Source organism: Homo sapiens, chromosome 17 (genome assembly GCF_000001405.40).
Source record: "Homo sapiens chromosome 17, GRCh38.p14 Primary Assembly".
NCBI classification, from domain to species: Eukaryota; Metazoa; Chordata; class Mammalia; order Primates; family Hominidae; genus Homo; species Homo sapiens.
The window spans coordinates 53451948-53467899 of NC_000017.11; the positions used below are offsets into that span (position 1 = coordinate 53451948).

Here is a 15952-nt window from a genome sequence, read left to right on the forward strand (position 1 = left end):
ACCTTGCAAATCTGATACTTTCCTGCAGGTAATCAAGATCTAAGAAAAGCCTCTCAATACCCCTTACATAACTACATATAAATTATCTTTATATTAGAGAGCGGTAACTCTGGTGGCTTTATAAATGACAGGAGAAAAAGGAACTGTGAGAAATATTTCAGCCATTATTTCACAAATCAAGAAAAGAGATGATGAGGATCTGCTCTCCGAAAATGGCTTGAGAAAGTTGATGCTACAGTGACATTTAAGGTGTGATAGGGCATTGGAATCTGCAATGATATCAAATATTTCAAAACCATGTAACTGGGAGGAAAGGGTCAAACAAGGAATATGGAAAGGGTATCTGTTGGATGAAGTTGAGTGAGTATAATAATAGCAGGATAATATTTATTATAGTAAATAAATATATATGTATCTATAAAGTATACTCAAGCATTTTGATCAGTAAAATTTGGGAAAGATGAATGCAAGGAATTGTAAATAAACCAGATAGCCTTGAATAAAATAGAAATTATACTAAGATCGAGAAAGACTGAATAGCATAGTTGTCATATAAAAGCCAGGTAAGAAGAGTGTCCAACAACGTTTTGATCAGTAATGAATCGGCCAGTAATGAATCCCCCCAGAGGTCTCAACTGGCCCCTATTTTTAGGAAGATGAAACATCCGTCTGCTCCATAAATTATGAGATGACAAGGCCTAGTAAATTGTAAACCGGTGTGAGACATTTAGTAACAAGGACTTGATAGAAACAGAGGGCAAAAAAAGGGCACTACCTAAGGAGTTACAGGCCATAGACTTTGTTTTATATATACTAGGCTCCCAAGAGTATTTTTTGGCTCCTTTTCTGAGCAAAAAAGGCACTAGCTGAGGAGTTACAGGCCAGAGACTTTGTTTTATATATATTAGGCTCCCAAGAGTATTTTTGAGTGTAGGTAAGGCGATTTCTGGTGATCGACTCCCTGGGAAAATAAGGACACTCAAAGTGGAATAAAATAAAAGCATTCTCTGCTTATTATTTCCAATTGTTTCTAAGAAGATGGCTGACTACATATAAGGAATCTAGAAAATAATCAGTCCAGAATTAATTAATCATGAATACTGTTAGTGACATACTAATGGCAGGTGTCTGGCATTGTTCTTTGTGTATTAGAGGTATCATCTCTTGTATCCATTACACAAACCTTAGAAGTAGGTATAGATTCATTTTCTGCAGTGGGTTTCTAGTCTACTAATGAAGCAGTCATGTACTTATACTCATCACATACACAGCAAGTATTTTATTTTTCTTTTATCAATTGTGCATAACTTTTTAAAATTTTTATTTCCATAGGTTTTTGGGGAACAGGAGGTATTTGGTTACATGAATAATCTCTTCTGTGGTGATTTGTGAGATTTCGGTGCACCCGTCACCCAAGTAGTATACACTGAACCCAATTTGTAGCCTTTTGTCTCTCACCCACTTCCCACCTCTTTTTCCCAGAGTCCCCAAAGTCCATTCTTATGCCTTTGCATCCTGATAGCTTAGCTCCCACTTATGAGTGAGAAAATATGATGTTTGGTTTTCCATTCCTGAGTTACTTCACATAAAATAATAGTCTCCAATCCCATCCAAGTTGCTGTGAATGCCATTATTTCATTCCTTTTTATTGCTAAGTAGTATTCCATATATATATATATATATATACACATATATATATATTCCATAGTTTATATGGTGTATATATATATATATGTGCCATAGTTTATATGGCATATATATATGACATATATATATATGCCATAGTTTCTTTATCCACTTGTTGATTGATGGGCTTTTGGGCTGGTTCCATATTTTTACAATTGTGAATTGTGCTGTTATAAACATGCATGTGTAAGTATCATTTTCATATAATGACTTCTTTTCCTCTGCATAGATACTCATTAGTGGGATTCCTGGATCAAATGGTAGTTCTACTTTTAGTTCTTTAAGGAATCTCCACACTGTTTTTCATACAGGTTTTACTAGTTTACATTCCCAATAGCAGTGTAGAAGTGTTCAAAAATGACCATACTACCAAAAGCAATCTACAAATTCAAGGCAATTCTCACCAAAATACCAGCATCATTCTTCAAAGAACTAGAAAACAAAATCCTAAAATTCATATGAAACCAAAAAAGAGACAGCATAGCCAAAGCAAGACTAAGAAAAAAGAACAAATCTCGAGGCACCACAGCACACAGCAGTGGAACAGAATAGAGAACCCAGAAATAAACTCAAACACTTACAACCAACTTATCTTTGACAAAGCAAACAAAAACATAAAGTAGGGAAAGGACACCCTATTCATCAAATGGTGCTGGGATAATTAGCAAGCCATATGTAGGAGAATGAAACTGTATCCTCATCTCTCACCTTATAAAAAATCAGCTCAAGATGGATCATGGACTTAAATCTAAGACCTGAAACTATAAAAATTTTAGAAGGTAACATCAGAAAAGTTTTTCTAGACATTGGCTTAGGCATAGATTTCATGACTAAGAGCCAAGAGCAAATGCAACAAAAACAACAATAAGTAGGTGGGACTTAACTAAAAGAAAGAGCTTTTGCATGGCAAAAGGAATAGTCAGCAGAGTAAACAGACAACCCACAGAGGGGGAGAAAATCTTCACAATCTATACATTCGACAACGGAATCTACAAGGAACTCAAACAAATTAGCAAGAAAAAGACAAACAACCCAATCAAATTGTGGGCTAAGGATGTGAATAGACAATTTTCAAAAGAAGATATGCAAATGGCCAACAAACATATGAAAAAATGCTCAACATTACTAATGATCAGGGAAATGCAAATCAAAACTGCAATGTGATACCACCTTACTCCTGCAAGAATGGCCATAATGAAAAAATCAAAAGATAATAGATGTTGGTGTGGATGTAGTGAAAATGTAACACAGCAAGTATTTTATTTTATTCTAGTTCAATTTTTATTTTTAATTTTTGTGGATATGTAATAGGTACAAATATTTATGAGGTACATGAGATATTTTGGTATAGGCACATAATGTGTAATAATCACATCATGGAAAATTGGATATCCATTCCATCAAGCATTTATCATTTGTATTACACATCATCTAATTATACTCTTTTGGTTATTTTTAAATGTGCAATTAAATAATTATTGACTACAATCACCCTGTTGAGCTATCAACTACTAAGTATTACTTATTATTTCTTTTTCCTTTGTACCCATTAACCATTTACACCTCCCCTCTACTTCCCCACTACTCTTCCCAGTCTCTGATGACTATCCTTCTACTCTCTATCTCCATGAGTACAATTGTTTTAATTTTTAGCTCTGACAAATAAGTGAAAGTGTAAGTTTATCTTTCAGTGCCTGACTTACTGCACTTAACATAATGCCCTCCAGTTCCATCTATATTGTTGTAAATGATAGGATCTCATTATTATTATTATTATTATGCCTAAATAGTACTTCATTGTGTATAAGTAGCACAGTTTCATTTTAAACATTTTTTATTTATTTCTCACTCTGTCTTCTGGTGCTGAAGGTACCACATTTTCTTTAACCAGTCATCTGTTGATGGACACTTAGATTGCTTCCAAATCTTGGCTATTGTGAATAGTGCTGCAATAAACATAGCAGTGCAGATCTCTTCAATATAATGACTTCCTTTCTTTGGGGCATATACCCTGCATTAGGATTGCTGAATCATACGTTTCATGCGCGTCCGTGTGAAGAGACCACCAAACAGGCTTTGTGTGAGCAATAAAGCTGTTTATTTCACCTGGGTGCAGGTGGGCTGAGTCCGAAAAGAGAGTCAGTGAAGGGAGATAAGGGTGGGGCCATTTTATAGTATTTGGGTAGGTAAAGGAAAATTACAGTCAAAGGGGATTTGTTCTCTGGCAGGCAGGAGTGGGGGTTGCAAGGTGCTCAGTGGGGGTGATTTTTGAGCCAGGATGAGCCAGGAAAAGGACTTTCACAAGGTAATGTCATCACTTAAGGCAAGGACCGGCCATTTACACTTCTTTTGTGGTGGAATGTCATCAGTTAAGGTGGGGCAGGGCATATTCACTTCTTTTGTGATTCTTCAGTTACTTCAGGCCATCTGGGCATATACGTGCAAGTCACAGGGGATGTGATGGCTTGGCTTGGGCTCAGAGGCCTGACAATACAGAGGCTCAATTTTTAGTGTTTTGAGAAACCTTCAACTTGTTCTTCATAGTGGTTGTACTCATTTACATTCCCATCAATAGCATACATAGGTTCCCTTTCCACATTTGTTATTGCCTGTCTTTTGAATAAAAGCCATTTTAACTGGAGTAAGATAATATCTCACCGTGGTCTTGATTTGCATTTCTGTGACAATCAATTATGTTGAGCACCTTTTCATATGCCTGTTTGCCACTTGTATTTTTTTTCTTTTGAGAAAGGTCTACTCAAATATATCACCTACTTTATTTTTTTTTTCTTGAGACAGAATCTCACTCTCACTCTATAACCCAGGATGGAGTGCAGTAGTGTGATCTCAGCTCACTGCAACCTCCGCCTCCTGGGTTCAAGAGATTCTTGTGCCTCAGCCTCCTGAGTAGCTGAGATTGCAGATATGCACCACCATGTCCAGCTAACTTTTGTATCTTCAGTAGAGACAGGGTTTCACCATGTTGGCCAGGCTGGTCTCAAACTTTTGACCTCAAGTGATCTGCCTGCCTCGGCCTCAAACTTTTGACCTCAAGTGATCTGCCTGCCTCGGCCTCAAACTTTTGACCTCAAGTGATCTGCCTGTTTCAGCCTCCCAAAGTGCAGAGAATATAGGTATAAACCATGAAGGCTGGCACTTTTGCCTGCCTTTTAATCAGACCTTTAAAAATTTTCCTGTAGAGTTTGAGCTCCTTATATATTCTGGTTCTTAATTCCTTGTCAGATAGTAGTAGTTTGAAAATATTTTTCCCATTCTGTCGGTTGTCTCTTCCTTTTGTTAATTGTTTCCTTTGCTGTGCAGAAGTTTTTTAACTTGATATAATCCCATTTGTCCATTTTTCTGGCTCTGTGTCCCTACTCAAATCTCTTCTTGAATTGTAATCCGAATTGTAATCCCCACATGTTGGGGGAGGGACCTTGTGGGAGGTGACTGAATCATGGAGGCAGTTCACCTGTGCTGTTCTTGTGATAGTGAGTGAGTTCTCATGAGATCTAATGGTTTTGTGAGGGGTTTTTCCCCACTTTGCTCTGCACTTCTTTCATTCTTCTCCTTCTTACTTCCATGTGAAGAAGGACGTGTTTGCTTCCCCTTCCATGATGATTGTAAGTTTTCTGAGGCCTCTCTGTTCTGCAGAACTGTGAGTCAATTAAACCTCTTTCCTTTGTTAATTACCTAGTCTTGGATATTTCTTCATAGCAGCATAAGAATGGGCTAATACAGTAAATTGGTACTGGTAGAGTGGGGTGCTGATATAAGGATACCCCAAAATGTGGAAGCAACTTTGGAACAGTTTAGAGGACTTAGAAAAAGACAAGAAAATGTGGGAAATTTTGGAACTTCCTAGACACTTGGAGGGCTCAGGAGACAGGAAAATGTGGGAAAGTCTGGAACTTCCTAGAGACTTATTGAATGGCTTTGACCAAAATCCTCATAGCGATATGGACAATGAAATCTAGGCCAACGTGGCCTCAGATGGAGATGAGGAGTTTTTTGAGACCTGGAGCAAAGGTGACTCACTTTAGCAAAGAGACTGGTGGCTTTTTGCCCCTGCCTTAGAGATCTGTGGAACTTTGAACTTGAGGGAGATGCTTTGGGATATCTGGTAGAAGAAATTTCTAAGCAGCAAAGTTTTTCGAGGATGCAAAGCATAAAATCTTAGAAAATGTGAAGCCTGATAATGCCACAGAAAAGAAAAACTCATTTTCTGGGGAGAAATTCAAGCCAGCTGCAGAAATTCACATACTTAACAAGGAGCCAAATGTTAATCACCAAGACAATGGGGAAATGTCTCCAGGGCATGTCAAAGACCTCCACAGCATTCTCTCCCATCACAGGCCCAGACGCCTAGGAGAGAAAAATAGTTTCCTGGGCAGTGTCCAGGGACCCCCTGCTGTGTGCAGCCTTGGGACTGGTCTCAGCTGCTCTAGCCATTACTAAAAGGGGCCAAGGTGTAGCTCAGGATGTTGTTTCAGAAGCTACAAGCCCCTAGCCTTGACAGCTTCCATGTGGCATTGGTCTTACGTGTGCACAGAAGATAAGAATTGAGGTTTGGGAACCTCCGTCTAGATTTTAGAGGATGTATGGAAATGCCTGGATGTCCAGGCAGAAGTCAGCTGCAGGGGCAGAGCCCTCATGGAGAACCTCCACTAGGGCAGTGCAGAAGGAAAATGTGGGTTCAGAGCCCCCACATAGGGTCCCCCCTGGGGCACTGCCTAGTGGAGCTGTGAAAAGAGGACCACAGTCCTCCAGACCCCAGAGCAGTAGATCCACTGACAGTCTGCACAGTTTCCAGGTGGAAAAGCCACAGACACTCAAAGCCATACATGAGAGCTGGGCTGGAGCTGCCCAAGACCATCAGGGTCCACCTCTTGCATCAGTGTGACCTGGATGTGAGATCATTTTGCAACTTTAAGGTTTAATGACTACCCTATTGGATTTTGGACTTACACAGGGCCTATTACCCCTTTGTTTTGGCCAGTTTCTTCCATCTGGATTGGGTGTATTTACCTAATGCCTGTATCCCTATTGTATCTAGGAAGTAACTGACTTGCTTTTTATTTTACAGGCTCATAGGCAGAAGAGACTTGCTTTGCCTTACATGAGACTTTGAACTTGGATTTTTGGGTTAATGCTGGAATGAGTTAAGACTTTGGGGAACTGTTAAAAGGACATGATTGTGTTTCCAAATGTGAGGGCATGAGATCTGGTAGGGGCCGGGGTGAAATAATATAGTCTGGCTCTTTGTCCTCATTAAAATCTCATCTTGAATTGTAATCCAAATTGCAATCCCCACATGTTGGGGGAGAGACCTTGTGGGAGGTGATTGAATCATGAGGGCAGTTCCTTATGCTGTTTTCATAATAGTGAGTGAGTTCTTATGATATCTGATGGTTTTGTGAGGAGCTTTTTACTCCCTTTTCTCTGCACTTCTCTCATTTTTCTCTGTACTGCTGCCACATAAAGAAGGATGTGTTTGCTTCCCCTTCTACCATGATTGTAAGTTTTCTGAGGCCTCCCCAGCCCTGCAAAACTGTGAATCAATTAAACCTCTTTCCTTTGTAAATTACTCAGTCTTAGGTATTTCTTCATACCAATGTGAAAATGAACTAATACAGATGGGTGGTTTGAAAATATTTTCTCCCATTCTGTAAGTTGTCTCTTCATTTTGTTGATTGTTTTCTTTGTTGTACAAATTTTTTAACTTGATGTGATCACATTTGTAAATTTTTGCTTTGGTTGCCTGTGAGGTATTGCTTAAGAAATTTTTGCCCAGATCAATGTGCTGGAAAGTTTCCCCAACATTTTCTTGTAGTAGTTTTATAGTCTGAGGTCTTAGAGTTAAGTCTTTAATCCATTTTGATTTTTTTTTTTGTGTGTGTGTGTGTATGGCAAGAGATAGGGGTCTAGCTTCATTCTGTTGCATATAGATATCCAGTTTTCTTGGCACCATTTATTGAAGAGACTGTGTTTTTCCCAAAGTATGTTCTTGGTATCTTGGTCAAAAACAAAGTCACTGTAGGTGTATGGATTTGTTTTTAGGTTCTCTATTCCATTCCATTGGGCTATGTGTCTGTTTTTATGCCAGGACCATGCTGTTTTGGTTACTATAGCTCCGCAGTATAATTTGAAGTCAGGTAATGTGATTCTTTCAGTTTTGTTGTTTTGACTCAGGATAGCTTTGGGTATTCTGAGTCTTTTGCAGTTCCATATAAATTTTAAGGGATTTTTTTCTCTATTTTTCTGAAGAATATTACTGGTATTTGATAGACATGCATTGGACTTGTAGATTGCATTGGGTAGTATGGACATCTTAACAATATTGATTCTTCCAATTCATTAACATGGAATATTATTCCACTTTTTGTGTCCTCTTTAATTTCTTTCATTAATGTTTTGTAGTTTTCATCGTAGAGAGCTTTCACTTCCTTAGTTAAGTTAATCCTTGGGTATCTAATTTTACTTGTAGCTACTGTAAATAGGATTACTATTTTTTATTTCTTTTTCAGATTGTTCAGTGTTGGCATATAGGAATGCCACTGATTTTTGCATGTTGATTTTGTATACTGTGACTTTCCTGAATGTGTTTATCATTTATAATAATTTCATGGTGGAGTCTTTAGGTTTTTCCAAATATAAGATTATATCATCTGCAAACAAGGATAATTTGACTTCTTCCTTTCCAATTTGGATGTCCTTTATTGCTTTCTCTTGTATGATTGCATTAACTGAGACTTCTAATACTATGTTGAATAACTGGTGAAAGTGGACATCCTTGTCCAGATATTAGAGGAAAGTCAACTAGTATTTTAAAATGAGCACCTGAAGCTGGGCACAGTTTCTCACACCTGTAGCCTCAGCACTTTAGGAGGCCGAGGAAAGAGGATTGTTTGAGCCTAGGAGTTGAGGACCAGCCTGGGCAACACAGTGAGACTAAGTCACTACAAACAAGACAATATTAGCTAGGCATGGTGGCACGCACTTTTAGTCTTAGTTGCTTGGAAGGTGGACATGGGAGGATCACTTGAGCCCAGGAGGTGGAGGCTGTGGTGAGCCATGATCATGCCACTGCATTCCAGCCTGGGTGATAGAGTGAGACCCTGTCTCAGAAATAAATAAATACATACATATATAAGTAAATAGATAAAAATAAAAATACCTAAAATTAGCCCATGAAATATAGAACATTTAAAGTTAAGAAAAAACTTCTAGTTGAACCCATGATGTTAATTGAGGAGATACTATAGAGTGAGAAGAAAACAGGTCTGGGGGCAGAGTCATGAGGAATCTTCAATTCTTCTGAAGCTTTAGAATACACTGTAGAAGACAATTAGATTTTTACCATGAAATGTAAATATATTTTGGTGAACAGTTCAGAGTTGTTTATTCACTACCATTAAAAACTTTGCTTATATAAATATCGACTTATCCTTCTGAAATTCTTGAGTAGACGTTATGGCCATGCAATTTTCTTGACAATGCTCCATCTGCCACAAAAATTGGTTAAACAGTGTTGGTTATAGAAAGGGAAAGCAAAGGGAATAAGAAGCTTCCTGACAGATAAGAGGAAGCATGGAAGGGACAAACTTCCCAGAACTTGAGTGAAGAGTGCTTAAAGAAGAAGAAAGTCATCATCAGTTTCAAAAGTGGCAAAGAAGCGTAGCAGGCTGAGGATAGAAAAGAGACTTTTGCACCTTTTAAAAGAAAGCTTCAGTGAAGTGGTGGAGGATGAAGCCAAGTAAAAGTGGTTTGGAGAGGGAATGATTTTAAGTATCGTCAAATACTACGGGCAGCGTGTTATTCTTTCTTTCTTTCTTTCTTTATTTTAATTCTTAAGAGGAATGATTTGTATTCAACCATTTATAGGAATGAAAAAAATGTTGCTTATAGATATAGAGTTTCTTAGGTCAAGACACATACACACACACAAACACACATGCAAATAGAGAGAGAGCACTCTCATCAATAACTAATGGCAGCTCTAAAACATCTGGATTGATAGAAAAATGTGGCAGCATTTTCTTTTGGCCAGAAGGAAAAGCCAAAATAATGGTTCAAAGGAGTAATCTTTCCCTTTGCATCCCTTAAAACATCTTCCATGACTATCATTTACCTTTCTTAGAGAGAATGCCTGTCTATATATACTTTACAATTATATTTTGTTCATGGATGAAGGCAAAGGAAGGGCAAGTTCAAAACAGTACAAATAGGCCTGGTACAGTGGCTCACACCTTTAATCACAGCACTTTGGCAGGATGAGGTGAGAGGTTCAGTTGAGGCCAGGAGTTTGAGACCAGCCTAGGCAATATAGTGAGACCCTGTCTCTATGAAAAATAAAAGAAATTTATCCAGGCATGGTGGTGCATGCCTGTAGTTCCAGCTACTTGGGAAGCTGAGATGGCAGGATAACTTGAGCCTGGGAGGTTGAGGCTGCTGTGAGCTGAGATCACGCCACTGCATTACAGCCTGGGCAACAGAGCATGACCCTGTCTTCAAAACAAAATGGGAACAAAACACAACAACATGAAATAAAATAGAAATTCAAAACAGTAACGTTTCATAAAATTAAGAAAAGAGTACTCATCAAAAGCAGGAAGAGTTTTCTAAGTTAAGGGAAGGTTTAAAAGTGATAAAGTTGTACCAAAGCTGGGTATGCATCAATATACGCACTGTTATCATACAATTAAATATATGATGATTAGAGGACAGAATTCCGAGGTGAGCAGGTATATATTCTACCTGACTGACTTTCCAACTGAGCAAATGTTTCTCTTGGCCTGAACACAGACCTTCATTTATTTTCATTGTGAGTCATTTTCCTAGAAGTCACTGTTGCATAAATGGTGCTTCCCTGACTTCCGATCAACTCAGACAGCCAAAATCAGTAAGTGTACAAATGAGCTCAACAGGAACATTTTTTCCCAAGATATTTCCTGTCAATTTTCTCATCCTGGAATGTGAAATGGTCTTTTCCTAAAGATCCCCAGATAGTAGTCATGGAATTAATCTTTATTATCTGTCAGTATTGTATTTATTACTCATATAACCCTGTATTCCAGATCTCCCTTGAATGTGGTGGGAAGATCTCATTCACCCTGTGATCTGACAGCTTGTGTTTTTCCTTCTACTCTTTTCACCCAAAGGCAGAACCTGAAAGGATGCCAAGAACTTCTAGAGAAATGCAGAAAAAAAATTAAAAACCACTACACAAACTTGAGGGCCAGACAGAGATATTAGTACAGCCAAAAAACAAAAGTATTTTGTTATTTTATTATAAACATTTCTTATTACATTTTATTTCTCATAAAATTACAGAACAAGGGGTGAGGGCAAAAGACTGAATTGTTGACTAACCAACTCTGGAATGTACTATTATTGGTAACTGCTAGTTTCCCATTTTGTGGGCATTGGTAGTAACTAAAATTTTCAGAATAACCAATAATTTGACTGAGTTTAGTTAATTAAAAAAAACTTTAGATAGGAAGTTAAAAACATAAGCAGATTGGTGAAATTGTGTGAACTATTGATTCATTTGAATCATACAATGCCTGATTTAGAAGCAGCTTCAGAGATCATGTCTCAATCTTATTTTACAAATGAAGAAAATGGGTCCCAAGGGACCAAAGGGAATGGCTTGTCCACTGTCAAATACTCATATTATTTTAGGCAAACATGTATCTCTTGCCCTATAATTAATCTCAAACTTAGGAATATCTCTATTCTCACAGAGTTCGAGTCTCAGTTACACAGTAAGAACTGGAAAGTCTACTGGTCTGAATGATTTTGAATCACCTAAATATCACCTAATATTTACCAGAGTGCCTGACACATAATCAATGCCCAGTGCTTAAGGTGTAGTTGAGTGTTGAATGAATGCATTATAATAAAAGCTCTTCAAAAGAACTGCTATGAATCATTGTCACATGATGTATTTGCTGAAGGCAGAGCTCCTTAACTGGTGGGGAGGATCATCAATTTGGAAACTGAGGGCATGCGCTTTCTTTTAGATGCTGCCTAAGACAAATGATGTTACTTCAAAATGGTAAAAAAAAAAAAAATTAAATAAAGAAAAAAGTACATCATAAATAAAACAGATTGCTAACAAATTAGTAATTATGTCAAACAAATAAAGCTGCCCAGTGTTATGCTTTAGCCTCATTTGACCCTTTTCAAAAAATTAAAAAGAGAAAAAGAGGAGGCAGAATGAGGAAATACATTAACCCACAGAGGCATTTCTAGCTCTGAATCTCCATCTAATTTGCTTTTTACAAACTATTCAGCATAAATTGTCTCTTTCAGCATATTGAAGGATGAAAACACATGCTAATACCAATAAATTGGATCTGAGTTTGGAAAATTTATGTGTGCATATAAAAACTATTTGCATACATCCCCAGATGGAGAAGTCAACAGAGCATGAACCTTAGTTGTGAGGATAACAATGTATACATTACATTGGGAGATTCAATTTGTGTGTAAAACAATTCAACTGCTGATTATGAAAGTGACACATTCTAGGATGATGCACCTTTAAATTCAGCAGTAAACATGAATATGGAACTCTTGCTCTTTGCCAGCACAGGTTTCCACATCTGGTTCATTTCCACATATAGCATCTTAAGGAATCAAAGGTATATTTTATTTAGTAGTTGTTAATCAACTTTAAAAATAAATATCATACAAGGTATTTACAGCATATAGTTTTAAGCACCCTATAGACTGTGTTACATGAATGATAATGATGAAAGCAAAATGCAAAACTTGTTAAGAACCAAGACGATAGGTCAGTATTCTAGCTATGTGACCTTGGACATTTATCTAACTTTTTTTTTTTTTTTTTTTTTTTTTTTTTGTGATGGAGTCTCACTCTGTCGCCCAGGCTGGAGTACAGTGGCATGGTCTCGGCTCACTGCAACTTCCGCCTCCCAGGTTCAAGTGATTCTCCTGCCTCAGCCTGCCAAGTAGCTGGGACTACAGGCACTTGCCACCACGCCTGGCTAATTTTTTGTATTTTTAGTAGAGATGGGTTTTCACCGTGTTAGCCAGAATGGTCTCAATTTCCTGACCTCATGATCCACCTGCCTTGGCCTCCCAAAGTGCTGGGATTACAGGCGTGAGTGCCCGGCCTATCAAGCCTTTTTTCATGTAAGTTTTATCAGTTTTTCATGGAAGTTACATCAGTTTGCTAAGCTGTGCATTGGACATAACAACGCTATATATATATATATATATATATAAAGTATATATATATAAAGTATATATATATTTTCATGAGGATCTAATCAGATAATGTATATATATAACTCACTATAGCGTCTAGCAAGCAGTTAGCTCTCAATAATCATTATCATTTTCAGTCCTTTTTTAGAAGCTGTTATGTTAAAATTGAGTGCTGTCTTCATTGGGACTTGCAGTTTCAAAATATGGTATTAGGCATTTGCTCAATATTGAAATCCACGGGCACGTCACACAGGAGAGATAGTGCTGATAGTCTGAGGTGAAGCTGATTGTCCAGAAGGCTGAATGTTACTAATTACATAATAGTGAGTACAAACGGAACACAGGCACAGAGCAAGAAGAGTCCATTGAAAAGAGAGCCTGATGCTCTTTCCCAAGAGAAGACACTGGGAAAACAAGTTCAAGCCAATTTTAAAACCACAAGGTCAGAGAATGCTTTTTTGTTGCTGCCTTTTTATTTGTTTTCATCCCTGAATATATCCTAAGTGTTTCATTTAACTTTGTCCTTGCCCCAGGTCCCACCCATTCAATCACATTTATGCCCTCAGGTGAATGAAGACTAGAGGTAAAAAAGGAAGTAGCTAGGTTATGAAAGATTCTGTAAGATTCTTGGGCACAAACAGCACTGCTTCTGTACTTTCTTTACTGAACCGATTACAAAAGAGAGAGAGACATAGTTTTGTCTGTTTCCCGTTGACCCCACGTACCCCTGGAATCTGAAAGGCACCCCTGTATTAGTGGTCTAGCTGCTCCCCAAGAAGATGGCAGAGGGGCTCTGGTGCTTGGTAGGGAGAGGTAGACAGGAATAGGAGTGGCAGTGACAATGCCCATTTGGAGAGCTAAGAGTGCCAGACACATAGCAAGCCCTCAAGAAATACTTATTTAAGACTTCCTGGTTCCTGCATTGGGTTGAATTTTGTCCCTAAAAAAGATTACTATAACTACTAAGCATCAGTAATTGGAATGTAATTTTTTTAAGTACGGTGTTGCTGATATAGTCAAGTTAATTCAATGACTGATGTCTTTAAAAGAAGGAGATTTGGCTTGCAGTAAGTTGAGATTGTGCCACTGCACTCCAGCCTGGGTGACAGAGCGAGACTCCATCAAAAAAAAAAGAAAAGAAAAAAAGGAGATTTGGATACAGATGCATAAACAGAGGAAGGAAGGTGAAGTGGCATATAAAGTGGCAGCGAAGTGGCAATAAACAGTGGCAATGAAGGTGAAGATTGCAGTAATGTGTCCTTCTACAAGCAAGGGATGCCTAAGATTGCCAGCAACGGTGAAAAGCTAGGAAGACATGTGGAATGATTCTTCCCGGACTACTCAGAGAGCGCACAATCCTGCCAACACTCGCACTTCAGATTTCTAGTCTCCAGAACTATAAGAGAATATGTTTCTGTTTTATTAGGGCACCCAGTACATAGGGCTTTATTATGGCAGCCTGGGAAACTAATGCAGTCCCCAAAGAAAAAGTATTCTGTGAATACCTAGCAAAGTCAAGGGTGCTCAGTGGGGAGTTAAAACACCTACTAGTAGGGTCCATGCTGCCTGGTGAAATGGCCATAGCTAATAGCAAGGCAGAGCTTAGCGGAATCTACAGATAGCAGAATGTACAAGATCTTCCTGCTGTTGTCATGGGAAGATTGTTCAGAGGAGTTAAAAATGCACTTGCCAAGATGACCCTCAAGGGGCTGTGAGTAGGGATTTGAATAAAAAGGGGATGATGAGAAGCCTTGTAGGGAACTGGTGTTTATAGATAGGTGAAGACAAAATTTGTCTCTCAATGGCCACATTTTTCAGCCCTACATCGAGGAGGCCTGAGGACATCCAGGCTACAATAATATAGAACAGTTTCTCCTTGATTATATTAAAAAACTGCATTAGATTGTCTCTTCCTGCATGAGTCTCTTCAGCTTGTAAATGTTTCAGGGTCACTTGTCATCCAGAAATGTGCCTTTTACTAAAATGATTATGCCAACTGTTCTATTTAAAAGGCTCTTGATCACTGAACACAGTGAAAAGTAATTCATAAATGCTGACTCAAGAAAAATGTTTTGATAACAAAAGTTGCCAAGGCAAGCCAGAATGAAAGCATTCCTTAGCCTTAAATTGAAAATAGTTAAAAGACCCATAGTGAAAAACACTAATAACAAATCTTCAGAAGCTGATGATAAACATACATTAGAAGTTATGATTAAATACATTTTGACTAAACAAGATACATGAAGCTCTTATTACAAGGCCTGGCTCTATGATAGGCAATAAGAATATTTCATAGCAATGAGAGTAAGAAAAATATTAATGATGAGTTGTGTAAATGTATATTTTTATATCGTGTTTCTGTGGTTGAGTGATTTGCAGTAAATACTGTCAGCTAATACCAAAAGCATTATAAAATGTGAGGACAGCCTTCACAGTTGGTTAGAAAGGTGACAAGTGAAGAACATGACACCTAAAAACAACTGCTGCACTCACGGGATCAATTTCAGTAATTTCCAGGTAAACCCAGTTACATTGGTAGAAAGTAAAGCTATGGGTACAACCATAATCATAGGGTGTACCAAAAATAACATTACTATTTTAATGCTTTGATTAACCAGGGCCAATGTGTTCTTTACATGTATTGACTTAACCAAATTTGCGTTACCATAAAACCCATGAGCACACAGAAGTTAGTAATGTGGGGTGGATGTTAGAGCCATACATTTTAGCTCTAGAGACCTGCCTTTCATCAGTACACATGCTGCTGTTCAGGGTGGAAACAGGCCAGATGTTAATGTCAGTATATAGCTGGTGTCATGAAAGTCCTCCAGAAGTTATCCTGAAAATTTTAACAGCTTTTATGACAACAATAAACATGCAGCTTACCCTTTGAAAGGCAGCTTGGGCCAGGCACAGTGGCTCACACCTGTAATCCCAGCACTTTGGGAGGCTGAGGTGGGTGGATCACAAGGTCAGGAGTTTGAGGCCAGCCAGGCCAATATAGTGAAACCCCATCTCTACTAAAAAT

The 15952-nt window shown here is 38.1% G+C and overlaps 1 annotated feature.

Moving 5' to 3' along the window:
* Positions 3267–4250: an enhancer, noted in NCBI's record as "OCT4-NANOG-H3K27ac hESC enhancer chr17:51532575-51533558 (GRCh37/hg19 assembly coordinates)". NCBI's record gives its function as "activates a minimal SCP1, AML or CMV promoter by ChIP-STARR-seq in naive H9 embryonic stem cells {active_cell/tissue: H9 hESC(naive)}" and the evidence as "EXISTENCE:reporter gene assay evidence [ECO:0000049][PMID:30033119]".